This window comes from Homo sapiens, chromosome 4 (assembly GCF_000001405.40).
Source record: "Homo sapiens chromosome 4, GRCh38.p14 Primary Assembly".
Lineage (NCBI taxonomy): Eukaryota > Metazoa > Chordata > Mammalia > Primates > Hominidae > Homo > Homo sapiens.
Window position 1 is genome coordinate 151,912,846 of NC_000004.12, and position 27,735 is coordinate 151,940,580.

The 27,735-nt window shown below is 42.0% G+C and overlaps 2 long non-coding RNA genes across 4 annotated transcripts in view; both read left to right on the top strand.

The window, feature by feature from the left end:
* The window catches only part of LOC127898557 (uncharacterized), a 140,693-nt gene extending 113,487 nt beyond the window's left edge, over nucleotides 1–27,206 (top strand). Inside the window, exons 3-4 of the long non-coding RNA NR_183042.1 lie at nucleotides 8,919–9,029; nucleotides 26,934–27,206. This is a non-coding gene — a long non-coding RNA (uncharacterized LOC127898557). The remainder of the gene's footprint in view (nucleotides 1–8,918; nucleotides 9,030–26,933) is intronic.
* On the top strand, nucleotides 1–27,206 carry LOC127898556 (uncharacterized). Of its 3 annotated transcripts, none has more exons than NR_183041.1 (4): nucleotides 1–142; nucleotides 3,759–3,934; nucleotides 8,919–9,029; nucleotides 26,934–27,206. It is a non-coding gene; the product is annotated as an uncharacterized LOC127898556 (long non-coding RNA). The 3 variants fall into 3 exon arrangements; NR_183040.1 differs by lacking the exon at nucleotides 3,759–3,934 and adding an exon at nucleotides 26,058–26,145; NR_183039.1 differs by lacking the exon at nucleotides 3,759–3,934.
* Nucleotides 27,207–27,735: the final 529 nt, after the last annotated feature.

Here is a 27,735-nt window from a genome sequence, read left to right on the forward strand (position 1 = left end):
CTAGCCTGGCTTTTCTACCCTTGGAGAGGCACTCAAAGAAAGCTCACAGCAGGTGAGCAGAAGGCAGGAGATACGAAAGGAAGCCAGGCGGTGGGGTAATCAGGAGGTCATGTTGTGGAGCCAGAGGTCAGAGCACTTTGAGGTCAGTGTTTCTGGTATGGGGGATCCTATCTCTGCTAGAGCATAAAGACATAGAATACGTTTTCTGAGATCGTTCTTTGCTCCAAAGCTTTCTAGCTTGGTTGAAAACAAACCAATGAACAAGCTCCTAGGGGAGAAAATAATTTCACCTTCCATAGTTTTTCATTTTTACTTACCCTTTAAAAAATAATTTTGACTTTTATTTTAGATTCAGGGGGTACATGTGCACATTTGTTACATGGGTATATTGCGTGATGCTGAGGTTTGTGATATGATTGAGCCCATCACGCAGGTAGTGAATATAGTACCCAATAGTTTGTTTTCCAACCCTTTCTCCCCTCCCTCCCTCCCACCTCTATTAGTTCCCAGTATCTATTATTGCCATCTTTATGTCCATGAGTACCCAATATTTAGCTCCTACTTATAAGTGAGAACACGCGGTATTTGGTTTTCTGTTCCCGAGTTAATTCGCTTGGGTTGATGGCCTTCCATTGCATCCATTGGGTTTCCTAGGTTTTCTGCTAGGATTCATGTAGGACATGATTTTGTTCTTTTTATGGTTGCATAGTTTCCATGGTGTATATGTACCAGCTCTTTATCCAATTCACCATTAATGGACACCTAGGTTAATTCCATGCGTTTGCTATTGTGAATAGTGCTGCAATGATCACACGAGTGCATGTGTCTTTTCGGAAGAACGATTTATTTTCTTTTGGATATATACCTAGAAATGGGATTTCTGGGTCAAATGTTAAGTTCTGTTTTAAGTTTTTTGAGAAATCTTCAAACTTCTTTCCACAGTGGCTGAACTAATTGACCTTCCCACCAGCAGTGTATGTGGTTCCTTTTCTCTGCAGCCTCACCAGCATCTGTTGTTTTTTCGACTTTTTAATAACAGCCATTCTGACTGATATGAAATGATATGTCATTGTGGCTTTGAATCACACTTCTCTGATTGTTAGTGATAATGTTTCTTTCATATATTTGTTGGCTGCTTGTATGTCTTCTTTTGAGAAGTGTCTGCTCATGTCTTTTGCCCATTTTTTAATGGGGTTGTTTGGTTTTTGTTTGTTCAATTGTTTAAGTTTCTTATAGATTCTGAATATTAGATCTTTGTTGGATGCATAGTTTGCAAATATTTTCTCCCATTCTGTGGGTTGTCTGTTTACTCTGTTGATAGTTTTTTTTGTTCGTTTGTTTTGCTGTGCAGAAGCTCTTTAGTTTAATTAGGTCCCATTTGTTAATTTTGTCTTTGTCACAATGGCTTTTGAGGACTTAGTCATAATTTTTTTCCCAAGACCAATGTCCAAAATGGTGTTTCCCAGGTTTTCTTCTAGGATTCTTATAGTTTGAGGTCTTACATTTAAATCTTTGGTCCATCTTGAGTTAATTTTTGTATATAGTGAAATGTAGAGGTCCAGTTTCATTCTTTTGCATATGGCTAGCCAGCTATCCCAGCACCATTTTATTGAAAATGGAGTCTTTTCCACATTGCTTATTTCTGTCAACTTTGTCAAAGATCAGATGGCTATAGGTGTGCAGCTTTATTTTTGGGTTCTGTATTCTGTTTCACTGGTTTTTGTAGCAGTGTGATGCTGTTTTGGTTACCGTAACCTTATAATATAGTTGGAAGTTGGGTAATGTGAAGCCTCCATCTTTTTTCTTTTTGCTTAGACTTGCTTTGGCTATTGAGGCTCTTTTTTGTTCCATATGAAGGGATAGTTTTTTCTAGTTCTGTGAAAAATGATGTTGGTAGTTTGATAGGAATAACACTGAATCTGTAGTTTGCTTTGGGCATTATGGCCATTTTAGCAATATGAATTCTTCCAACCCATGAGCATGGAACATATTTCCATTTGTTTGTGTCATCTCTGATTTCTTTCAGCAGTGTTTTGTAATTCTTCTCATAGAGATCTTTAATCTCCTTGGTTAAATGTATTCCTGGGCATTTTTTATTATGTGTATGGCTATGGAAATTGGATTGCATTCTTGATTTGGCTCTCAGCTTGAACATTATTGGTGTATAGAAATACTACTGATTTTTTTTACATTGGTTTTGTATCCTGAAACTTTACTGAATTTGTTCCTCAGTTCCAGGAGGCTTTTGGCAGGGTCTTTAGAATTTTCTAGGTACAGACTCATATCATCAAACTTATTTCATTCTCTTGAGTGATTGCTCTAGCTAGGACTTCCTGTCTTTGGTTTACCCTTTGCACAGTTTTCTGCTTCCTATTCTCTACTTTGTCTTCTTTGTTAAGCGTAGATAGTTGTTGGGGCTGGAAAACTAGACTTGGGAGCCAAGGCAGTGTCTAAGTTGCATAAAGAAAAGACACAGACATCCTGGCCAGCACGGTGAAACCCCGTCTCTACTAAAAATACAAAAAAAAATCAGCTGGGCATAGTGGTGGGCGCCTGTAGTCCCAGATACTCGGGAGGCTTAGGCAGGAGAATGGCGTGAACCCGGGAGGCAGAGCTTGCCGTGAGCCGAGATCACGCCACTGCACTCCAGCCTGGGCAACTAAGCGAGACTCCATCTCAAAAAAAAAAAAAAAAAAAAAGAAAGAAAAAGAAAACACACAGATATCTAATGAGATAAATCTATAAAGACAATAGGAAAAAGCTGAGGATGATAATAATGGTTGCTGTTGATTCAGGATCCAATATATTCAAAGAGCTTTCTATATATCACCTCATTTAATCCTCTCAATAATTTTTGACCCCATTAGGGGGTCAAATTCTTGACCGCATTAGAGGCCGAGAAGAAATCAAGTGCCCAAATAGAGAAAGAATAAAAGGAGAAACCAAAGAGAAATAAGAGAAATGTGTGGTATAAGAAGGCGAATGCCTAGAACATGTGCCACTTCTCTCTTTTTCAGGCCTGTGACAAGCATGTTAATCAATCACAGCATCCTAGATGTAACTTGAATTTTCTTCTCCACACAACACTCCAAGCAACCATTACTAACTGGTAGAAGCAAGCACTCAATTTTAAATGTATTTGCTATGCTTAGTGTTGTAAGAAAATCGACAAAGTTCTAAAAGGGGAAGAGTTGGAAGATGCCAGCTGCTTCAGGGGGGCCATGCTGAATAGCACTGATTGTCCGGGAGCACCCTGGTTGTACCTGCAATGAGGGTGTTTTCTGTCGAGGGGTGGTGGTGGGATCCATGCTGTGAGAGGTTAAGAAGGTAATGGAAAGAGAAGTAGAGGCTGCGGGTGCCGGTCACCTGTTCCTTGAATTTGCAAGCAAAGTAGGTTCAAAAGTTGCTCTGATAGGTAGTAGGGTCCAGCAACAGAGAGGAACTGGGTATTCATAACAGAGGCCATAAGGAGAGAGAAGCTGAGAAGCCTAGAGACCACAAATGTGAAAATGCTTCAAAGACTATGAAGTGCTTTACAAACATGCAGAGAAGAACATAGAATAGTAAAATATTTGACTCTCACCTTTTCCTCATTAAAAATAATAGGTGGATAAACAATTTTCTCCAAATATCGTACACATCAGGTACTTAGTCTCCAATGAACTGATAGGATCAATGGCATTAAGCAGCCAGGATGTGGGACGCATGTTCCAAAGGCCTGTTTCTTATTGTCTCAGTTGTCATTTTTATATTTTAAGAACAGATCTTGCTGTGAGTAATTGGAAAGTGTGGGCTCTCTCGTAACCACAGTTCCATCACTGCCTCTCAACTTGACCATGAAGTCCATACAGACCCCACTCCACCTTGGCTCCTACAGAGCTCAGCTTCGATGTACTCCTCAAATTGCTGCAACCACCTCCTCCCTGTCCTGCTGGTAAATAACACCCACCCACCCACCCACCCGAGGCATTTTTTCACAAACACTATCACTACAAAATATTTCTACTAAATGTTCACAAAACGAACAAAATCCATCCGCTATTACTTTCAGAAAATCGTGCCACAAAACAGGCCTCCCACATCACACTCAACGGTTGTGCTACACCTTGTAGTTAAGGTGAGTCTCGGCATGATTCAGCCTGATTCAGCCACGGACAGGAGGGGAGAAATTGTTTTAAGTTACAACCAACGTGGATGACGTTTTCCTTGAGACATAGCTTCCAGGAGTTACCACGACATTTTTCCTATCCATGCTCTGTGTTGAATAACAAAAGCTACAATTTATTGTGCAGCTAATTTGTGCCAAGTACTTACAAAAGTTATTTCGAATCCTTCTAAGTTTAGCAGGGGAGAATCCTGTGGTGGACATAGAGAGATGTCACTCAGGATTTGTTCACCAGCAGGGGGTTGCGGCCAGCAAATGACCTCAAGCTGTCAGCTCCTTTTGGGTCTTCCTCAGCTGCAGAGGACTGCCTGTCTTTCTCAGGGCAGCCTGCATCCTTGTAAATGCCCAGCCATTTTAGCCCAAAGTGGAACATTCCATCAGACAGTTCTCATGCTCCAAAGCTCTGGGGTCAAGGCTTTGTTTGGTCTTCATCAAAGTTTAGCTTCTTCCTCTGCCCAGTCTGTGTCTTCCTCCTTTTTTTTCAAAAGTGCTGATCCCTAGTAAACATCTTGGACTGCAAACTCAGTGTTTGCTTTGAATTCTGTTTCCCAGTCTATAAAAAGGAGATAGCACCTCCTATGGTTATTATAAAGACAAAACAAGATCATGCATAGTAGAGTGCTTTTCACCATGTCTGGCATATAGAACATGCTCAGTAAATGCTTGGCCATGTCCAAAGTCACACAGCTAGAAATTGTTGGATCCAGGACTCCAACCCCTCTGCCTAACCCCTTGGCCCCAAAGTTGGTTTGGAACTCTCTCATGATACTTCTCTGATGCTGCTTTGTTTCATGGTTATTTGCCTGTTATTATATCCCTGCCATCTAGCTGCTAAGTTCTTGGAACAGAGATTACGCTGTATCCACCTGCAACCCCAAGGCCTTGCAGGAGCCTTACACATGGGGTGAAGCTCCATTGTTGTTTAATGACTGAATGGCTGTATGCCTGACTAAATTGCCAACTCTTTTAAACTTCCTGTGGGGCCTGGAAAAAAAAATTGGATCATTTAAGATGCCCAGATTTTACTTGGTGTTTCTGGGTTTCCCTGTCTTCTCTATACCTATTTTACGGGAATCTCTAAGCTAATAAACCTAAACACCAACCTGAACAGGGCAAGGAAGTGACTGTGTTGGACCAGGTTGCAGGGTTTTGAGTGAGAGGCTAGTGCTGGAATCGCATTAGGGAGCTGCCCTGTGCACAGCCCAGACCCCTCTAGGGCTGTTGGCCGGGCAGGGGACACTGAGATGGCCCTGCCGCTGCTCTCAGCATGGGCCCCTGCTGTGGGGTGAGGGGTAGGCAGAGAACCTCCCTACCCTAGCAACTTCTGTCTATCAAAAGAGGCTTCCTGATGGGTTTTCTCACTCACTTTCATGAGCCAAGTACTTGGATGTAAGACTAAAATGATTTGTCCAAATTCTGAAAACTTGGATTGTAATAGTTTCTACAGAACACTTTGGCAGAATAATCTGAAAAAGTCTTTCTTAGTAGAAAGTCACACCAGCATATCATGAAACAAGTCCGCTTGGGTGAGCCAATCTCCTTTCTGATCTTCCCAGGATTCTTCCTTGCCACAAGAAGAGCTGGGAATTCACTGTAAGGCGGGCCTAGTCCAACGTTGGACTATATAAAATTGTTTTTCTTTTGTCTACCTCCTCCACTCCTTTTCACTATGAGGGAGATTTTAAACAGAATTCTTTGATGTTTAATTACCTTCCAGCAGAATTAAATCTTTAAAGAGGAACCCAGAGAGGGCAATGCTTAACCTAAAGGTTTTAATGGTGGAATTTGAGGCCATATGACACCGTCCCATCCCAGCAACTGCCTCCACTCTGTGTTAAAGGCAGGTCTTGCTCACAATGTCTCTGCCATGCTATCTGCCAAGGGCTGTGGCAGTGTGGGATACCATATGTTTAGTAAAGGTATTATTATAATCTAGGTTGTATTGGGCCAAAACATCACATGATTGGATGATATAGTTAGAGGAAACAGAGCAGGAGAAATTAAGGCACACACTATGAAGAAACGGGAAAAAATATTTTTTTCAGATGAGAATTGAAGTAAGATGGAACTAATGAGGCAGAAAGCAGTTTGGATTGGCTACTTAGAATGCCTCCTCAGGGAGGTGGGAGGTAAGACAGAGATGCTGGATGGATCTGGCCCCAGTGTTTCTTTTTATTTTTTTAAAAACATTTCTCCCACCCCCCCAATTATAAGTAGTACATGCCTATTGTAGAAATTTTGTAAAATAGATAATTATCGAGATGAAAGTTAAAAGCCATATATGAAGATTCTACTGCCTAGAGTCAGCCATTCTTGACAGTTTGGAATGTTCCCGAGTGGCCTTTAGAAATTATACACACATGTATTAATTTTTTCCCAGAAATGTTTTGGTTTAATAGACTGTCCTTGTTAGTATGTCAATAATAGTAAATTTCATATCTACTGTCTTTTGATTTCCAGGCCTGCTCTAACAATGTGACGTGATGTGTCCTTCTAGACAAGGCCAATATTAATGATGACATGTGAGTTTGCATTTGTATGGTGGCTGTATTTAGCATAGTTGCTGAAATCTTTCGTAATTCTAATAGTCCATATGGAAATTTTCAAGGATTTTCCACATCAAGAAATCATAATACCTGTGAATAATGACAATGCTGTCTCTTCCTTTTTAGTCCATTTACCTCTGAATTTTTTTTCTTGATTTACTCTGTTGGGTAAGATCTCCTGTAGAACAATGTTGACTAGAACTTGGGACAAAGGACAGAGTATCCTGTAGAGCTTCTAATGTTTTAAAAGTGTAAAATTAAAGACTTGCTCATAATAAAAACTGTTCACCAACTATAAAAGAAAAATATTTTTCAAAACTTGATGACAAGCATCTACCAAAAATCTAACAAGAATATTCTACTTTTAACACATATTGCCCATGTCTAGGAGGATAAATGCATATTAATAATTGAATATGCATGTGAATGCATATTAGTTAGGAAGCCTAGAACTCGAAAGGTAATGAATATGATATTAATATTATGCACATATTAAAATGGACATCTTTCTAAATCAAAGCCTTTCTGGAAAAAATATAACATGTTTGTGTAATTTCTTTAAGGCCAGTAGGGAACAATTCTAACATGTTAAAAATGGTTGACTCAAGATACTGGAATTTATATTTATAAAAGACAAACAAGTTTTAAGACAAAAATAATTTATAGGGAAAAAGATAAAGCACAAAATAATGATAAAAGGAAAAATTCACTAGAAAGATAATGCATATTTTTAAAAAACAATTTTATAATCTCTTTTAGTGGGTAAATTTAATATAATTATATTTATTTTGAATATTTATATTTTTAGAAGTACATATTCAATTTTTATTCTTTTAGCGGTTACCTTTGAATTTTTAGCCTACATACTTAATTTAAGAAATCTAACATTAAATCAACACATCTACCCTCCGTGGAACAATACCAGAGCCTTAGAATGTTTTAATTCTGGTGACTCTCACTTACGATCCACGTCGTTATCTAAAATTTTGGTTCTGTTTTGTTTTTAAATGCCCTAAAATTAGTCATTATATTATGTATAGAGTTTTTGTTTTGTTTTTCTTTCATTTCTACAGTTGATACTTATTTGGACTTCCCTTTGCATTTACCAATTTATTTGCTCCACAACGTTTTATGTGTTCCTCTTCTATTTTCTAGGTTCAATTTATTTCTAAATAAATACCTCTCTTCAGTAGTTCTTTCGGCGATGACCTATGAGTGATAAACTCTCTTTGCTTTGTTTTGCCCTCACTCTTGAGTGATGGTTTCTCTAGGTATACAATTCCTTGTTGACAATTATATTCCTGAATACCTTGAGGATAACATTCCACTGTATCTGGGCTCTATTTTTTCTGATGAAACATCAGTCCATTTATTGTTTTTTTTTGTTTGTTTGTTTTTAGATATCTGTCTTCCCTATCTTCTAAATTCTTAAAATTTCTGTATCATTTTTCATCTCTTTATTTTTCAATGCTGTAATTAATGGCAATGTCTTTAATTTTATAAACATGCATAATTTACTCAATTGTCTTCTTAACTGAACATTTATATTTGCTTGCTTTTTAAAATTAACTATTCATGCTGGGATTGGCATTGAGTATACATATACTTTTCCATACATTGCATATTAAGTTACATGCAATACAGAGTAATTAATTGAGTTAGGAGGAAGGGAAATTATTAATAGGAAAACAATAAAACAAAGTACAGGGTAAGCACAGAAAAATTAATTCTACTTTTTCCTTGAGGTAAGCTATGAAGCTAAGGTGCCTCAGGGGAGATGGAAACATGGTTTAAATATGTTTTACATTGTCCATAAAATAAAATTGAATGAATTACTCAGGAGAAGTGAACTTTTTTCCTAACACTATTATAGATGAAGAAGACACCCATGGCATGATACTGACATGCAATTCAGTCATGGTGATTCTAAGAGGAGTTGAAACAATGTGTTTCATATATACAACTTTCTGAGAGTCTGACTTCTTCTATGAGTAATGTTCTAAATATTTCCTACAGGGTCTTAATCTGCAGACTGTGAAACTTCTGGAATTGTCTGCCAAGTTTGTATGTTGCCTTTTGGGGTACAGAGATTTGAGGCTGTTGCTGTTAGTCCTGTCTGATTTTGTATAGGGATCCACTCCAGCCTGAGACCTGAGTTGGCTCAACTATCATATGGTGAAGCTTGTTTATGCTCTGTCTCTTTCTAGATCTGCACAGGAAGCACAAAGCTCTGGTTACCACTGGAAGCCGTCTTGCCCCCATAAACCAGCCTTAGGATGCCACTGATGCTGTATGGCAGAATGGAGTAACAGAGAGAAGTAAGTTGTTGATGACACCATTCACTGCTGATTGTACCATGTCTGGAATCTGCTCTACATCTAGATTTCAGTTATTTCCAGATATTTTAATCGAATGTAAGCCAATGTGAATCATGTTTTTATGACTTGCATCAGTAAGCATTGTAACTGATACAGAGATGCATAACTTGCCATTGAAGAATCTATGACTAAACGGATGTAGGAATCAGCTATAAAAATGGATGACAGACTGGGTGTGGTGGGTCATGCCTGTAATCTTAATGCTTTTGGAGGCTGAGGTGGGAGGATCACTTGAGCCCCGGAGTTCCAGATTATAGTGAATTACGATTGTGCCACTGTACTCCAGCCTGGACCACAGAGCAAGACTCTGTCTCAAAAAACAAAAAGAAAAGAAAGAAATAAAAAGGAAAAAAGAAAGAAATGGATGACAGGTCATAAGAGTTGTCACATACATAATGTTTTCTAAGCACTAGGCAGTGGTCTTCATATTCTATGTACATCAATTTATCATCATAAGAACTCAGTAAGATTGGTATTATCATCCCCGTCATTATCTCAGTATCATTTCCATTTACAGAAGTAGAAAGTGAGTCATGAAGGTTAAGTAACTTGGCTAAGTTCACTCAGCTGCTGAGCTCAAGCAGCCTGGCCCCAGAGCCTGGGTGCTTAACCACTATACTATACTGCCTCTCGGTGAAGTGCACGTACCTCCTACAGAGGTCACATGTCTTCCAACCTGGGGTTTTGGGTAAACATTGGACAACATAGAGGTCACGATTTTAATCCTTGGTAAGAACTTGGAGGACAGCTATTCTGAGTTGCCAAGGAGTTGGCAGATATACAACTTCAATAGTCAGTGGGGAAGGGAGGACAGCATACGGGTTAAGAGCAGGAATTGGTACTCATCCTGAGTTGAATCTAGCTTTGCTGCTTACCAGCATTGTGATCTAATCTGTGGGAGTTTTATTTTCTGCAGCTATAAGGTGGGGGATAGTAATCTCCAGCTTGCAAGGTTTTATAAGGTTTAAATAAAATGATTTCTACAGAGGATGGACTTCCTGCTGAGAGACCACAACTTAGAATGGATTGTCTCTAGCCTCGGTATGAGTGTGGGGAGGCCTGGTGGTGAGTCTCTGTATAGCTGGGTATCAAGGCACAGTGCCTGATTTGGAAAGTAGAATTAAAAGCAGATGCTGCTGGGTGTGGTGACTCACGCCTGTCATCCCTGCACTTTGGGAGGCCGAAGTGGGCAGATCATGAGGTCAGGAGGAGATCAAGACCATCCCGGCCAACATGGTGAAACCCCGTCTCTACTAAAAACACAAAAAATTAGCTGGGCGTGGTGATGTGCACCTGTAGTCCCAGCTACCTGGGAGGCTGAGGTGGAAGAATTGCTTGAACCTGGGAGGCGGAGGTTGCAGTGAGCTGAGATTGCACCACTGCACCCCAGCCTGGCGACAGAATGAGACTCTGTCTAAAAGAAAAAAAAAAAGTAGATGCTTTATTGGTATGAGACACCTAGAATAGGCAAATTCATACAGACACAAAGTAGAATAGGGGTTACCAGGGACTGGGGTAAGAGGGGAAAGGGAATTTGTGATTAATGGGTACAGTGTTTCTGTTTGGGGGGATGGATAGGGGTGATGGTTGCACAACAATGTGAATGTATTTAATGTCACCGAAGTATACACTTAAAAAATAAACTGACAAATTTTATGCTATGTATATTTTACCACAATAAAAGAATGAGAAAAAAAAAGCAAGAGCTCATGATAGTTACTGGTTAAGTGACAGTTGGGATGATGATCACTGGTTATGAACACCATGAACAGAAACTCTGGTATGAAATTTAAAACCCATAAAAATAATAAGATTATATTTTAGAGCACTTTTTATACATAATATCTATTTGATCATAATCATTAGTGTCCATAATAAAAAAAAGTCAAAAAAATCATGAGGTAGAGAGGATAGCAAAAGGTCATTTTCCATTGCCTTGCTGTTTGGAAACAGTATATTTCAACCCCCGCCAAGGGCTTGCTCTGTGGTGAAAGGGCTATGACCCACACGTATTACCAGGAGGCACGAAGCCCATAACGTATGTCCCTCCAGCCCTACAGATGGAGGTGAGGCTTTCCTCGGAGGCCCCATTCAGTTCCCATAGTCCTTACTGAGCATGCTGTTAAGCCTCAGCCTTAAAAATAAGAAGTGTCTAATAAAAAAAAGTGCATGACCTCCTGTGACTAAAAGAAGGGAAAAAAAAATCTAACTCTAAACTTTTAAAAGAAAGTGCATTTTTATAATAACAATAAAATCCTCCCAATCAAGCCTTTAAGAGGCAGTCTGCATCCCCATCTTTGCCTGGGGCCCATAACTATCCTTAGCTAATCTTTCTCTGACAGATAAAGAGCTGCTATATCCGTTCTTATAGCTCCATTTTAAACTTTATTCAGAGAAGTGGGGAGAAGAAGCCCTGGATGAGAATAAAGAATGAGTGTTTGAGAGTGGGCAAGGGGAAGAGCAAGATGGGATTACTTATTTGCAGAATAGATGCTTGTAGAAAAAGCAAATCTAAGATCCAAAGCCCTGTGGTTTGTTCAGCGACACTTTAGACAAATCTTTGAGACTGCAGGATCACATCTAGGTCAGTTGTCTCCAGAATTCCCTATTCACTCCAGTCCAGCCTTGCTGGAGGTGTACCATCAGGGAGGGTTATTCCGACAGATAGAATGGGTGCCCAGATGGCCACCTTCTGAATGAGGAGAGAACAAGAGGAGGTTTTCACAGGCTGTGGCAAGTGCAAAGGTGAGAAACAAGCAGAAAGCATTTGTGAGAATTCTAAGTCCTCACCAGTGGTCCCCAAGAAAAGCTATGAAATCTGTGCAAGATATCTCTAAAAATAAAAAAGATATTTATCAGCTCAAGATGGCTTCCATTTAACTCTGTACTAGAAGTAGATCATTCTAAAGGACCATTGGAGTTCTACGGTGCTGTATCTTCATGAAATTGATATTCTTAGTCAATATGGACCTTGTTAGAAGGCTCCGGGAGGGTGTACCCCCAGCTCACATAGACACCTTTCTCTGTGACCTGCCCTTTTCTCATGGATAGGCAGAGGCAGCCATGTTTGTACTATTTGGTTTCATCCTCCTGGCTATAGCTGATTGGACCCTGACCCAGGAAAAGCTGGTTAAATTCTTACCCCCAGGGGGTTAAGCGTATCTAGATTGGTATAGTTTGCTAGAAGTAAAATAAACTCAGAATCCTTGAAGATACCATCATTCATCATATCTATGGAAAAATAAAAAAAAAAGTGGTCTGTTCAGAGATAAAGAGCTAAGAGTATTTGTGGTTCCTGTAATCTTTCTACTCCTCAGTTCTAGTCCTTTTTAAAGATCTGGCTATACTTGGGTTCTAGGAGCTGTGTCAATCCTTCCAGTAAATTATTATGTCTTAAACTAGCCAGAATTGGTTTCTGTTACATGCAACTAAAAGAATCTTAAGTATTTTCAACTCAAATGTGGGGCATGAAGTCTGTGTCTATACAAAAGACTATTAGACTGACAATTGGGGTATGCATCATCTCTGAGTTTGCTATCTCCTGGGTAGTTTCTTATGTCAGAGATGTCCCAACCTCCTTCCATGGGGTCCACCTCCTGTTATCTTCAGATCCCATCTAGATATCTGGGGAAATCACCAAAGGATCCCAAACTAGGAGTTACCTTAATTATTCTTTTCTCAACCTCTCTCCCAATCATCCAATCCCTCCTCAAATCTTTTTGGTTCTACTTCCAAAATAGATCCCAAGTTGATTCACTTCTCTTTATTTGCAGAGTGGCTACCCTAAGCCATCAGTGCCTTTAGTCTGGATTACTGCAATGGCTTCTGAGGTGGCCTCTGGCCTCCCTGTATCCAGTTTGTTCTCTCTCCTCTCCCAATACATTATCTACATGGCAGCTAGATTGATCTATTTGAAATGTAAATTAGATCATGTCACCTTCCTACCTGAAACATCCTGTATTAGTTAGAATGCAGGCTGAGTTGATATAACAAAGAAACCCAAAATGCAACTGCTCAAGCAAAGGAAGGCAGATGGTTCAGGGCAGGCAGGTGGCCAAGTTATGGACAGCCATGAAGGGACCCAGAGTCCTTCTATCTTGGTGCTCACCATATCATAAGGTGCTACCCTACACTCTCCAAAGTCAAAGCTGGCTCTCTAGCCAGATGCACACACCAACCGCTGAGATGAGGAAAAGAGAAAGTGGAGGGAGGGCACATGCTCAAACATTTTAAGAACTAGGTCCAGAAGCGGCATACATCACTTCTGCACATGTCTTGTTGACAGGAGCTTAATCCTATGGCCACACATATATGCAAAAAAGACTGGAAAATGGACCTTCTAATCATGTGGGCATTTGCTGGCTAAAACTCAAACATTCTAGGACTGAAAAAAAGGAGAGACTGGATGGGTGGGGGCAGGGGGAGACAACTAGTAGTCTTTTCCACACTCCCTAATGGCTGCCCATGCTTGCACAATGAAGTCTAAACATTTCATGATGGCCGCCAAGGGCATCTGGCCTCTCCCTATGTCCTCTTGCCACTCTTTCCTTTGCTCATGGGGTGGCACAAGGACCTCTCTTCTTTCTGCTCCTGGAAAATGCCAAGCCTGCTCTTGCCCTGGGGTATTTGCACTTGCTGTTCCTTCTGCCTAGAAAGCTCTGAAGTCATGTCACCACACGCCTAGCTCCTTCTCACCCGTTGGATCTCAGCTCAAATGCACCTTCCTTCGAGAAGCCTTCCCTGCTCTTTCTGTCTGCATTGCCCAGGCTCCCATGGCTTACCCTTCCCCGTCACTTTCCATCATTGTTCTTTGTTTTGTTGACTTTGTATCATTTTTAAATTCATCTGAATTTATCTTGATAAATTCATCTTTGTTCGTATGGTCGCTTATTTGCTTATTTATCTGTTTCCCCCACCCCCGACCTTAGAATTTGAGCTTCCAGAGAGCAAGGACTTTGTCTGTCCTCTTTACCACCCTAGACCAGTACAGGGGACAGTACCTGGCTCGTGGTACAGACTCACGTATTGGCTAAGCGAATCAGTGGTCAGCTTGGATCTGGTACCAGCATTCCTAAATAGAAGCTTTTCTCTTAAATTTTGGGAATAGTCTCCCATCCCTATCTTCTGTCTCCCAAAAGTGTCTTATCTTGCTAGAGACATGGCCCTGCTTTGATGGGTCCTGGTTCCTTGCTCTGGGGCCAAATCAGTGTCATTTGTTCTATAACCTCATCACCCACTGGGCCAATTCAATCTGCTTTCCATTCCTGAGATGGGTATGAAACCTGCCTGCTACTTACATCCCTGGAAATGTGGGGGAATGAATCAGTTACCTGAAATAAGGGAATAATTTTTTATAACTGATTTAATCATGTGCAGGATGACTTTCAAGCTGACTTTGATTAATGGATCTTCCAAACAACACCATCTCCTAACCCCCACACAGCCCTCCACCACCTCGTCTCCTGTGCACTTGGAGGAAGTTGAAGGGTGTAGTATTTATAACAAGCAAGTCTGAGTGCTAGAATTCCTGGAGAGTTACACAGGATGAGAACCTAGCCCGATAATAATAATCCTAAATGTTATTATATGTCATTTCTCTGCGAAAGTCATCTAGGTAGCTCCCAAAAGGACCATGCAGGAAAAATTCCACTGTCAGCGTGTGCCAAAAGTCTTAATGAGGAAGGTTCAGGGGTTTTAATTAAAAAGGGCTCATTCAGTGGCCTTTCCCCAGTCAGAATAAAGTCTGTTCCTAACATATGTGCTGTGGCAGTCAATGCTGGGAAGATGATCTTGCCATCTTTAGGCCCATTTATCTAAGGAAGGCAGACTCCCAAGCCTATCCTGAGACATTGCTCTGCCCAAAATGAAATTCCATCCTCAACAGCCAACTTTGCTGAAGTATTGTCAGCCCCTGTGGAGGGAGGATAGCGAAGGTCCTGAACACCTGGAGAAAGCCATCCGAGGGGTGTTCCTTCTCAATAGTGCTTAATACAGTATTAAGCAAAGATTTCTCTGGATCATGAATAAGTGTGGCTGTCAGTATATCTGCCACTGTTGAGTTAAATAAAAATGGAAACATCAGAAAGAGCATTTAAAAAACCCCAGTAATCATTTTACCCATTACTTTACAAATAGGTTTCTACTTACTGATTCCTATGAGAATAAAAATGCCATAAGGGGAGAAAAAAGCTCTTCTTTTTAAGTCAAGCTGGAGAATGAGTGTGTCAGAACACCCAGGAGAGATATTCAAGCTTCTAGCTCCATCTTAGATTGCAATCTGATGTCTGATGGGACCTGGGTCTCACTAGCAAGATATGGCAGGTACTTTTCAGCTGTTTTCTGATGGGAAGCCAAGCTGCGGAGTCGGGCGAGGAAGCTATGTGTACCTGCAAGTTCTGGTGGATGAGACCACAGGCGTTTGCACATCCTGCATGTTAAGCTGTTGACCTAGAGACCTGCAAAGTTCCAAGGAGCTCGTTTCTGCTCAGAGAAAACAGCTCTGATTGGCAATAGCAGCTAATGAATTCTTACTTGGAGGCAAACATTGACTTCACCTTTGAACCCCAAAGAACCTTTGGAAAGCTCAGAGCTTTTTAAGGAATTTTACCTTCAGGCTGAGGATTTTAGGCCACATAACGTCAGTGGAATGATGAAAGGTCAGCATCCTAGTATCCTGCAGACAGAGGACTTGAGGAGTGTGGGGTCAGCAACCAGCCCCTCAAATGGGTCAGTGCTCAAGCCAGCTGCTAATCCCATTTAAAGACATTGCTAGCACTGAAGGTTCATGTGACCTCATAGATGCCATTGATGTTAGAATCAGAGAGGCTTGTGACCATTTCCTCTTGTTTTACTGAGGAAGAGGATGAGGATCAGGGAGGTGCCCATGGTCATTGTCTTGTTTACAACACAGCTCAAATATTTCCTGGTCAGAAATATCCAGGACTAGCTTTGGTGATGTGACAGATAAATAGAGCCTAATATTTTGTAGTGAAAATGACCAGAAGCTCTGAAAACCAGAAGCAGATGCAAGTCCACAGGAAGCATGATTAGAATGCCCCTGGCACACCTGCTGTGGAACGCAAGGTGGGAGAGACTCAGGTGGGAGCATTCCTCACCTCCCACTAGGAGCATCTGCCCAAGGACTGATGCGCGCCTGGCCAAAATGTCTTGACATGAACTTCCAAGCATTGAAGGGAAGGCTGATGGCCCTGCAAGACATGGAAAGGAATGCCAGTTGTAGACTGCAGGCTCATCAGTGAGCGCAGGACTGTTGCCACTCAAGCACCACCACCACCATGGCCAGACGTTGAGAAGCAAGAAGACAGAAATAAAGAGGCAGAAAGAAGGACATGAAAACCTACCTGATGGAACAATAGTGAAAAGTCCAGAGAGGCTTGCTCAGAACTCTAGCCTTTGTCACTTTGCAGGTTTATAGTTATTCCTTTTAGAGGGTTTTTATTGTGCATGTGTGTATTACCAGTGAATATTGAGCAAGCATTTACTGGGTATCAATTTTGTCTAAGGCACTATGCTGGAGCAGTGAATATGACACAATCCCAGACTGGAGAATCTCTAGACAATGCCATGTGAAAAGTGCCGTAGAAGGAGTCTGAGGTGCCATAGAATGACAGTGGGAAGGGAGTACCAATGTCTAACTGCAAGAATCAAGCACTGCTTTAAAGAGAGTGACATATGTACTCAGTCTTCTACTTCACAGGGTGAAAGAATGGGGCTTTGTGTTCTAAGCCAGGAGTCAATATGCAAACTTTTTCTCTAAAGAGCCAGATAGTAAATATTTCAGGCTTTGCAGGTCATAAAATCTCTGTTTCAACTACTAGAGTAGTTGCAAAAGCCACTGTAGACAATACATTAATGAACGGATGTGTCTGGGTTCCAATAAAACTTTATTTACAAAAACAGGCATCAGGTCAGAATAACCTGAAAGTCACAGTTCATCAACTGGTATTCTAACCCCTTGATGAGCCAAATCCCATTTAATGCTCACAACAACCCACTTGGGTAGGTACAGATGAAAGAGAACTTAGGCAACTTGTCCAGAGCAATACAGCAAGTAAAGGGCTGAGGCAGGATTTGAACTCAGGCCATCTGCTTTCAGAGTCAAATCCCCAACCCCTCATGCTTCCCTTATTTTTAAGATAAGCTTATAAATAATCATCACAACATCCCCCAATCCCATTTCTTCCTCCCCTCTCTGTCCCTTCTGTCATTTCCTTGCTTCTGTGTTTTTTTTTTTTTTTTTTTGCCCTTTATTTTTCGAAAACAAACAAACATATTTTTTGAACTTCTATAATTTGCCCAGCACAGTGCCAGGCACTTTGGAGAAAACATCGACAGAAGATAATACAGAATCCCTGCATTCCGTTGGTTTATCATCCCATCAAAGACCCAAGGCACATAGAAAAGAATAAGAAAGTGTTGGGGGAGGCAGGAAGCCTCCTTCCTGCTCTGGGGAGCTTGTCCTAGGTAGAGGGGGTTCACCTGTGTGACTCAGCTGGCCATTCTCCATCCAGCTGTCCCCAGAAAGGAGGAGTGTGATGTTTTAACTGGAGAGCCATGAAGAGGAACAGGGCACACAGAACCACGCTCCCTTCCTTCCCCTTCCTGTTAGGAGCCAGGCTGCCCACAAGAAGTGCTTGCTTTGCTCTCTCCTCTGTGATCATTGGCAAGGGCGGGGATCTGTGCCCCAGGGAAGAGCTGTCCCCAGTGCTGCCTGTGACAGGGTGACTAGGCTGTGAATTCTGCTAGTCTAATAGCACATTTATCAACAATGAAGATGTTATTTTGGTCTCCACATGCCCTATTCTTTTGTCTTATTTCTCAATTAGTTTGTGACTTGCTGGCAATGCCTGGCATTATTAACCAGGCCTATTGAATCCCCCAACAGCTGATGCCAGAGAGCATGTGAGAAGTGCCCTCTGCTTCCCCCTTCCTCTGAAAAAAGGACACAGATTGCTGGTCAGAGTTTGGAGGAGGGAGAAGAGGTCTCTGTGGCCTTGGAGGGAGGTTAGGAAGCTTGGATAGCTTCACTGAGGAAACAGACAAGTCTTCAGGGAGAAATATCGTTCAGAAAGGCTAATCTTAGAGCACATGTTTGTTGCTGTTTGGAATCAGGACCTCGAGGTCCCCATACTTCGAAGAATTTTCTCAGGACCTCTTCTCTGGGAAGAAGAAATTCTGCCTCAGAAACTTTGTATGGACACAAAGGATGATTTTAAACGTCCAGAGTGTGCATTGAATGATAGAAACTTAGAATTAGAAGGAACTGTAGAGATAATTGTATCTAATTTTACAGCAGTGAATCCCAAACATGGGCTGCCTCAGAATTACCTGGGGAGTTGAAAAAATATGGATGTTTAATTGCCACCCCTGGAGATTCTGATTCAGTAGTTCTGGGGCAGCCATGGTGATGGTGGTGGTGGTAGTGGTGGTGGAGTGGTATTTTAACAAGCTTCCCAGGTGACTAGGCAGTGAGGTTTGGTACACCTGGCAGGTGATCACCCAACATTCATCTCAACACTCCCAATGATTGGACTCACTGAAGCGGCGTTGTTGTCTGGGATAAATACCCGAGGTTCGTTGTCTCACACCAAGGAAATCAAGTACACGACACACAAGAAGTAGGTTTAGGAGTAGAAGTTTAATAGGCAAAAGAAAGAGAAAGGAGAATAGCTCTCTCTCCTGCGAGAGAGGGATGCCTGAGTGGGACTTCTGGCCCACTGCCAAGTGCACAAGATTTTATAGACTGGCTTGAGGAGGTGGTGTCTGATTTACATAGGGCCCAAAGATTGGTTGGACCAGGTGTTTACATAGCACGCAAGGAAGCTGGCTGCCCCACCCTAATCTTCTGTTATGCAAATGAAGTCTTTGCCTGGCAGGTGCCATGTTGCCTGCTCCTTACTGTACACATGGTTGACAAAGAAAATGGAAGATGTAGCTGCCATTTTTAACATACCTAGTCCCCAGGTAGCCCCTTATTATTGGCACAGCTGCTGGTATTCACCTGTGCAAGCTTCTAGCTTGCCTTTCTATGTCTGCAGCTTGATTTTACAGGCTGTTCTTTGTCACAAAAGAAAATGATTTGGGGGCTGCTTAGCATTAAAAGGAAAACCTTACCTTACCTTTGTTTTGTTTTGTTTTTGTTTTTTTTTGTGACAGTCTCACTCTGTTGCCTAGGCTGGAGTGCAATGGCGCCATCTCAGCTCACTGCAATCTCCGCGTTCTGGGTTCAAGAGATTCTCCTGCCTCAGCCTCCCAAGTAGTTGGGATTACAGACGTGCACCATCAAGCCCAGCTAATTTTTATATTTTTAGTAGAGATGGGGTTTTGCCATGTTGGCCAGGCTGGCCTCGAACTCCTGACCTCAAGTGATCCACCTGCCTCAACCTCCCAAAGTGCTGGGATTACAGGTGTGAGCCACCCACCGCACCTGGCCAATAATACCTTTTTAAAAAGGCTGTTATTAGGAGATTCCACAAAGAGCCTCATAAACTGTTATATATGATACACAAAGAGGCTTCGTGTCATGTTAGTTACACCTGTGATGCCAATGCCCAGTCTGCGTGAGCACATGGTCTCTCTCTCTCTCCTTAGAATCTTTCTTTTTTCATTCTTTTACTTTCTCTCTTTCTCTCTGTCCTTCTTCCTCTCTCCTTCCCTCCTTTCCTTTATTGTATCTCCTCTCTCTGTTGTCTCCGTTTTTTCATTTCCTTTTTCTCTTTCCTTCTTTCTTCCTCACTCTCTTTCTTTCTTCTTTATTCTCTCTCTCCTTCCCTCCCTGCTGTTTCTTGTGTGTGTGCGTGCGTGTGTGTGTGTGTGTGTGTGTGTGTGTGTGTGTGTAGAAAGAAGAACCTGGGAGACAGAGTTTTGTTTTAAAGAGTATTACTCCTAACATGTATATGTACTATGTTTTGGAGAGCCTTGCCTCTACCATGTATAACAGGATGTCAAATGTAGCTTTTATTTTGTTCTTTTTAAGTTTTGAGTTTTGGCCAAGGACTCAAAGTCTGAGAACAGGAGATGTCCAATCACCCATAGAAGAAATGTCAAGGGATCGTGAAGCTGATTTTGCAACCCTGAGCTTATGGCCCACCTTGGGGTATATAAGAAATCCTTAAAGATACAAAAATCAGAAGGAGAGGATTTCTTTTGAACGAGTTGTTAGGGTGCTGGGAGCTTCCCTCACCTAAAGCCGAGTGAAGATGGCTTCAGGTACCTCTCAGGGGGCTGACATGAGTCCCTGAACATTTGGAGTCTCCAGGCAGGTTCTGGCTCCTCAGGCATGTCTGAAAATCAAAAGCTAGAGACTGGCTGGGCAGTTGGCCAGTGGCAGAGTGGAAAGAAGGCTGCTTGGCGAAGAGCTCACCACTCAGAGTCGTGCTTCCTGAGCACCAGTGTTGACCACACCGAAGATATCTGACTGCCAGTCATCTTGAGGGACTCTGGCCAAGGTGACCCCTGGATGGCAGTGTGCCGCAGCAGAAGTGTGGGGGACGGAGTCGGGGACTGCCTGGTGCTGAGGATGTCATAAGAGGCAACATTGCTCAAATTAAGGGGAATAGAATCTCCTTGCTGTTGGCTCCAGAATCCATGCTCTGCCACTTTTTTTTATTGCTTTTTTGTTTTGTTTTGTTTGAGATAGGTCTCACTCTGCCGCCCAGTCTGGAGTGCGATGGCGCCATCTAGGCTCCCTGCAACCTCCGCCTCCCAGGTTCAAATGATTCTCATGCCTCAGCCTCCAGAGTAGTGGATTTGCTGCCAGTGCTGGGATTACAGGCATAAGCCATTGCGCCCGGCCATGCTCTGCCACTTTCTAACTGGGCAAGTTACATACTACCCTGTGCTTTAAAACCCCCACCTGTACTATACAAGTCTATGTCCAGGGAGCATCAGCACTAGATTACACCCATACAGGTCTTTCCAATTTTCCCCTCTAATCCTTTCTGCCCTGGGCTTAAGCCTGAGGGCCTTGAACTAGACCCTGTGAGTTGGAGGGGAAGTTAGGGAGAAAGGGGGTTTCCTCCTCACTGCGATGTTCCAGGCTCCTCCTTCTTCCCCCAGCCCTGCTCCAACAAGTTTCCCAAACTACAGCAGGCCCAAGCTGGGGGGAAGGAGGGAACATTAAATAAATACAATAGAAATCAAAAGTTGAAATACAGGCAAGAGATTGCATTGGTCTGGCCTAGAGTTGGTATCTGGGTGTGACTGGAGGAGTTGTAAGATCTGCCTGGATGTTTTCAGAGTGGAGAGGACCAGGGCCACAGGGAGCTCAGGTCAGCAGGTTGCTTCCTGCTTGCAACCAAGATATCCAATAAGCTCATTCAATAAATGCAAGTGTAGAGACTGTTTTGAAACTGGCTTTTCTGGCAATTACTTTTAATTCTGCCCACAGGCCTTTGGAACAGAGAAATGTCTTTCAAATCTTTCACTTCATGGAGTGGGTAAGCAGTTGTATTATTTCTGGGGGTAGTCACTTCCCCTCCATGACATGCGAATATTGCTAGAAATATTAGAGTTTCCGATTTCTCTAGGAGAAATCTGGGCATTTTCTGGAATGGGGAAAGATGAGACATGCTGGCCTCAATGCAAATTGTCTATGAGGCAGACTTTCAGAACCGTTTTGGTAGCTCTGATTTTTGACAAAATCCATTGCTAGGTTATTCTGCAAGTTATGGGAATGTTTCTGGGTTTTTCTAAGTGTTTGGGCAACTCCTTATTCTTGGGCAATTTTCTAATTTTATTTATTATTATTTTGTTGTTGTCATTCCTATTTTTCTAGGAGATCTTCCTGTGGCTTGAAACTTCTAGCTAATATTTAAAGTTGCCCCTGAATCACGTGCCTTCCTTTCCTAACTGTTCAGGTATCTTTCATTTTGGCAAATGACGGTTACCAGCTGTGATTAAAATATGGAGCCAATGCTTTAGGACTGACACAGAGGATAGTCTTCCTGCAGGACAGATGGCACCTCCGGCATTACTCAGACCAGCCATCTAAGCCCATGTTGCTTTGGATGTGTGCCTGAGGTCAAGGGTCCAACCAACTCATGAGTAGGCCCCAGGCCAGTTTACCAGATGGATGAGGATGAAAGGCAGGGCCTGGAGAGAGTCTATGCACAGGGAGGGGTTGCAGCGTTTTACTGTCTCCCTAAAGAGGTCTTCATACTTAATGCAAAAATTATGGTTTACCGTGAGAGTCAGGCATTTAAAGAGAAATTTCTGCCCATTCTGTCAAATGCCCTCAGACATGGAATCAAGTGAGAGAACTCTGAATATTAGCCTTTATCTGAATTGACCAAAAAAGGCTCTCTAGGGACAGAAAACTGGAAGTTTGAATAGTCTGCTAACTACCTCTGTCATGGCAAATCCTGAGGGTAGAATGAGCATGCAGACTGCATGGACCTGGGCCATTGGGACACTGGAGTGATGGCCCCAGATGGCTCTGTGGACAGATTGGGGACTATGGGGAGGGCATCCCAGGGCAGAAGAAATGGGTCTTCAAGACTATGTTTCTTCCTGTTTTAGTGCATTTTTCACCTCTTCTGCAAAGAGTTTGTGCCATAAATACCCTGTCTTTTGTACAGCTGACATTGGAGTTGTCTCTCTGTGTGGCAATTGGCTGGCCCTGGGTCCTGCCAATAAAGTAATCATGGGGGCCCTTGCAGGGAGGCAGGGCTGGGATAATAAGAACATCATGTGCTGATCTGTGGATCTAAATTTATTTTTGTTGAACAGCAACATGCTTACCTGGCCAGGAAAGTTGGAAATGCAAGGCTAACGATATCTGCATTCCAAACACCTAAATGAATTTCTGGGAAAAATTGCAGGCAGCCTTCAGGGTTTTGTAGATGGAGAAGGGAAAGGGACCCTGTGCAGACAAGAGAGCTAGGGCAGGACCCTACTGATGGCAAAGGAAATGTACCATGAAAGGCACTTATTCTTCCCTGTTCCAGGTGACAGGAAAAGAAGACTAGAAGGAGAGCTGAGGAAACTGATATCTATGCTTTTCAGACCTAGTTCTGCCTTAGGCTGTATATCTGAGTTTGAAAGACACGATTTCCTCCACCCAGAGAAGGTGTCTTACAACAATGTGAACCATGCAATAGGATAATCAAAGAACCATTTGATAGAAAAGTCGGGAAGCCGGTGAGCCCCAGCGTCACAAGTGTTCCCTAGCTGGGCATCACCTTTATAAAAGTATGGATGTGTGGAAAGGTACTTATGCCACATTCAATGCTGCACTCATAGCCCTGATTATTTAGATCCTATGCAGAACTTATTGAACAAACCTAATATTTGCTAGAGATTATCCTCAGCACTTTACCATTGTCAACTCATTTAGTTCTCATAGCAACCCTATGACATAGGTACTATGATCATTCGTGTTTTACAAATGAGAGATGAAGTAACTTCCACAAGGTCCTGTTATCCCAGAGTACATAGCTAGTGTGATGCAGACTGGGATTTTAACCTGGCTCCATACTCCAAACTCTCAATAATGAGGTTTTGTTTTATACCCCATGACTATAGCTAATTAGCAATGCACACGTCTTTAGGCCTTTCTCTTCTATTAGATGAAGAGCTGCTATGGACAAGAATCATGTCTGGTTTAACCATTGTTCCTCCCAGCAAGTAATGCCTGGTACCCAGTTGGCAGTCAATGAATGCGTTTGCAAACCACAACCCTAGGCACCACTGGCCATGCCATTATCTCCTTCAGGGCACGGGCTGTAGAATGAACAGCTTCCGTTCTTATTTTGCACCCCAGCTACTACGCAGATGGTTTGCCGCAGTGCTCGGGCTGTATACCCTTGACTTCTCCTGACTGTTTATTATTGTAGGAAGCAGCTCTGGGCAAACAGCCGGCTTCCAACTAGGTGACCCACCTCTTGGGTCTGTCTGTTCTCACCACAGGTAGCCACCCATGGCAAGCCCCAGTGCTTCCAAAAGCACCCCCTCCCTCAGGATTTCTCTCCCCTGCCCCTGGGAAGTTGCCTAGCAACCTCCTTTCCCCCCCTCCCCATGCGCAGCTCCACTCTCATTTTCCTCACCCCATCACCACTCCTCAAGTTCTCTTCAGTGTCATTAACCCCTGCATCTCTCTGCTTCATCATCCCGTTATCAAACTTTGCAGGGACTCCATTTTCACAACAAGCTCAGCCTGACCCAGAACGCATCCCGTCATTTTCTTGTCTTTTACAGTTTTGTAGGATTCTTCATAGCATACTTTTAATATTAACCTCAATATCAGACTGCCAAAGAAAGAGGCAAAGGCAACATGTAAACAAAAACAAAGAGAAAATAACCCAAACACAAAAAAAATCATGATTGGAATTTCCTAAGGGGTTTATTCAAGCTTCAGATAACTTTTTCCCCTTTAAAAGAGTATTATGTCATCCTGTCACATGTACCATATGATATGACATAAAGGTGAGATGGCATATCATATGATTAATTAACATAATATAATACAGTATGATATAATATAGAATAGTATAGTATAAAAAAGTACATGGAACATTTTTACTTATGCTGGCACCATAATATATGTTTTCCCTGTTGCCCTGCTTCAGAGCCTGGAAGAAAGGAAAGCTCCTAATTTTCTTTCTGTCTGGAAGGCCATCCACCCACAGGTAGCATGGTGTTGCTGGCACATTTGCCACGGTTTTGCCTGCTGTTGGCCAAGGGCATAGTCATTCCAGGCAGTCAACAGGTGATGCATTGCCAACTCCACCTCCTCTATAGAGAAACACAGGTTATCTGAAAAATAGAGAGAGTCACCCCTTTTCTATACTGGGCCAGGACATCTACTTGACATCAGCCCTGAGCTTTCACTAGCAAGTGTGCATCTCTCATTTCTGGCTTTAGGCTATATTTCATCTACTAAACAGAGAAAAATGCAGGGTACCACCATGGCCATGCTGTCAGGAGGAGTGAGCATGCAGGGCCCAGGGCTTTGTTTCACCAAGAACACAACTCTCTGCCTTCTATGGCTCTTAACTGGCAGCCTCCAGAGTGCCAAGTTGTGTAGACTAGGACTCAAAGGAACAACAATACTATAAGGGTCCCCAGTGCTGCCTGCTATCTAGAATGATCCTCAAACTTAGGAGTCCCTCTGAGTTTTCCAACCTCATGGGGCCTTAGGCTGGACCTTGTAATCTGAGCAGAGCAGACTGGGAGGGAGGCATGGATACCTTTGAGATAGCACAACTAGGTGTGCCTTTGACATTTGTGGACGTAAGCATACGAACGGGATTTCAGACCCATTCAAGATCATAATGTACAGTTGTTTAGGTTGCACACTGCACAGCCTCTACAATCAAATTGGGGTAGCTCTGGACCTTTAAAAGCTCACTGCTGTTCCATCATAGGGAGTGTCTTTTACTCCTCCATTTCATACTATCATTTTTTCTTTCAGATCTGCTCTACCTGAACAAATAGCCATTTTTATAACTACATGTGCATCATATTTGAATGTAAAATCAACTCAGAAACTTTCCAATCTGTATCTCTTATTTTTACTGAGGACTAGTAGAGAAGAGGTAATGCAGAATGCACTCAGACCTGAGCCCAGCCTCACCTTTCCCTGGCTAAATCTAGACTTCCCAGTTCTCTTTCTCTCTGAGTGCACAGTCCCATGTCTAAATCCAGATCAGACAGCAGAAATATAGGAGCGGGCAGCTGGGAGAACCTGAATCCCAGGTCCAAAGAGACCGCCACAATTTACTAGTAAGAGTCTTTATCCAAATTCCCCCTCCTCATGGTAGTTCGTTTCGATGGACTTGTTATTCTTTATCTCTCAGGTTCAGAAGACTGTATTCTGTTAAAATTGCTGCCATAATCCATGCCAGGAGAGTTGGAGGGCATGGATGTGGCAAGTAGTGATTTTTGCATACAAATTTTATATCACATGTTATAGAATTAATTATTCACTACAGTTGTTCATTCCTTCAGGATTTCTTTCCAGGTGTAATTGTCGAGTTTTGGGAGAAACTTTACTAAATGCCATAAGAGAAGAAATGTCTTGTCACCCTTGGGGAAGGTGGGTTTAATATTAGTTTTATATTATTTTATTATTATGTTAATAGTAATAACTACTACTTACTGGTGCCTGCCAAATGAAAGAGGCTTAGATAAATGGTTTATATTAATTTTCTTACTTAGTTTTCACCACAACCCTATGAAGTAGGTACTACCTTTCCCATTACGCAGATGAGAAAACCAAGGTTCACAGAGGCTAAGTAACCTCTGGTGGCTGGTACTCATCCAGGTGTCAGAACCTAAATGCCTCTTTCCAGATGACTTAAAGTTAACTTTAATAATTCATTCTGCTCTGAAGCAATTATGTTCCTAAAGCAGAAAAATCCACATCCAATTTTATTTTCTAGATTATGAACCTAGAAACACTGCTAATTATGAATATGGGCAGCAGCAGCTGGGAATTATACCTCCCTAAACATTTCAAGTTCTCTGGTTAATATATTGGATTTTTTTTCCTATAACATTATTTTTATTTTACTTTTTAAGTTGACAAATAATAATTGTACATATTCATGGGGTACATAGTGATATTTTAATACATGTAATATATTGATCGAGGTAATTGTTATATCTATCATCTCAAACATTTATCATTTCTTTGTGTTGGGAACATTCAACATCCATCTTGCCATTTGAAACAAGATATTATTGTTAACTAATAGTTTTTAACACTATCTCATCTCTTTTCTTCTCAGGCTCCACTTAATACACTGCCTTGGTGAACAAACACATGTTTGATTCATTTAAAGATACACCAATGAACCCCTTTTCCCTCATTTCTCTTTGCAGTTTGCAGAATAAAGAAGGGACAATGCAGTCACCAGGTCAGCATTAAGGGAAGGCTTGGCTGCATCATCTGCCACTCTGCTGCTGCTGACTCTGCCAGTGGGGACAGCACATGCTTCCTTCTACGCTTGCCTGAGGTTCGTAACTTCAGAGCCCCACAGCATTTCTGGAAGGAGTAAAATGAGCTACATGGTCCGGGAAGCTACTCCTAAGTAGAGTTCACAATCAAAGGAATAGAAGCTGGGGAAAACAATAAAGCAGTCTTCTTCTTCTCAAGTCATCTGTGACAGGTTTTTTTTATTTTTAATTTTTATTAGAATAGGGAGACATAGAACCACCAAACTCCTATAGAAAACGAGTCTTCTGAGCACCAGTAGCCTCATTATAGACCAACTGTATTAAAACCTGCATCAGAACCTAGATGACCATTTGCTGTTCTCCCCCCCAGGACAAATCCACACAGTTGTATGGGTTGAACACTGAACAACTTAAGAAGCACTACCATGTACATTATAGATATAGATATAGATAAAGATACAGATATAGATTATGGATATAGAAAACTTGTGTATTTGTTCCAACAAATTCCCGGCAGATATCATCAAAGTGTCTTGATGTAGGGGTGCCTTGTTCTAATTCATACGAAGGTGCCATATGGGCTTGCAGTGACTGTGTTACTCCTTCTGGTGAAGAAGGCAGATGGCTCAGTGGCAGAGAAACCTTGAAGTGGGGGACAGCAGTAGACAGGAAGTCTGTACAGGCAGATGAAAGAGCACCTGGGTCTGAGGCCTGCTTCACCACCTCC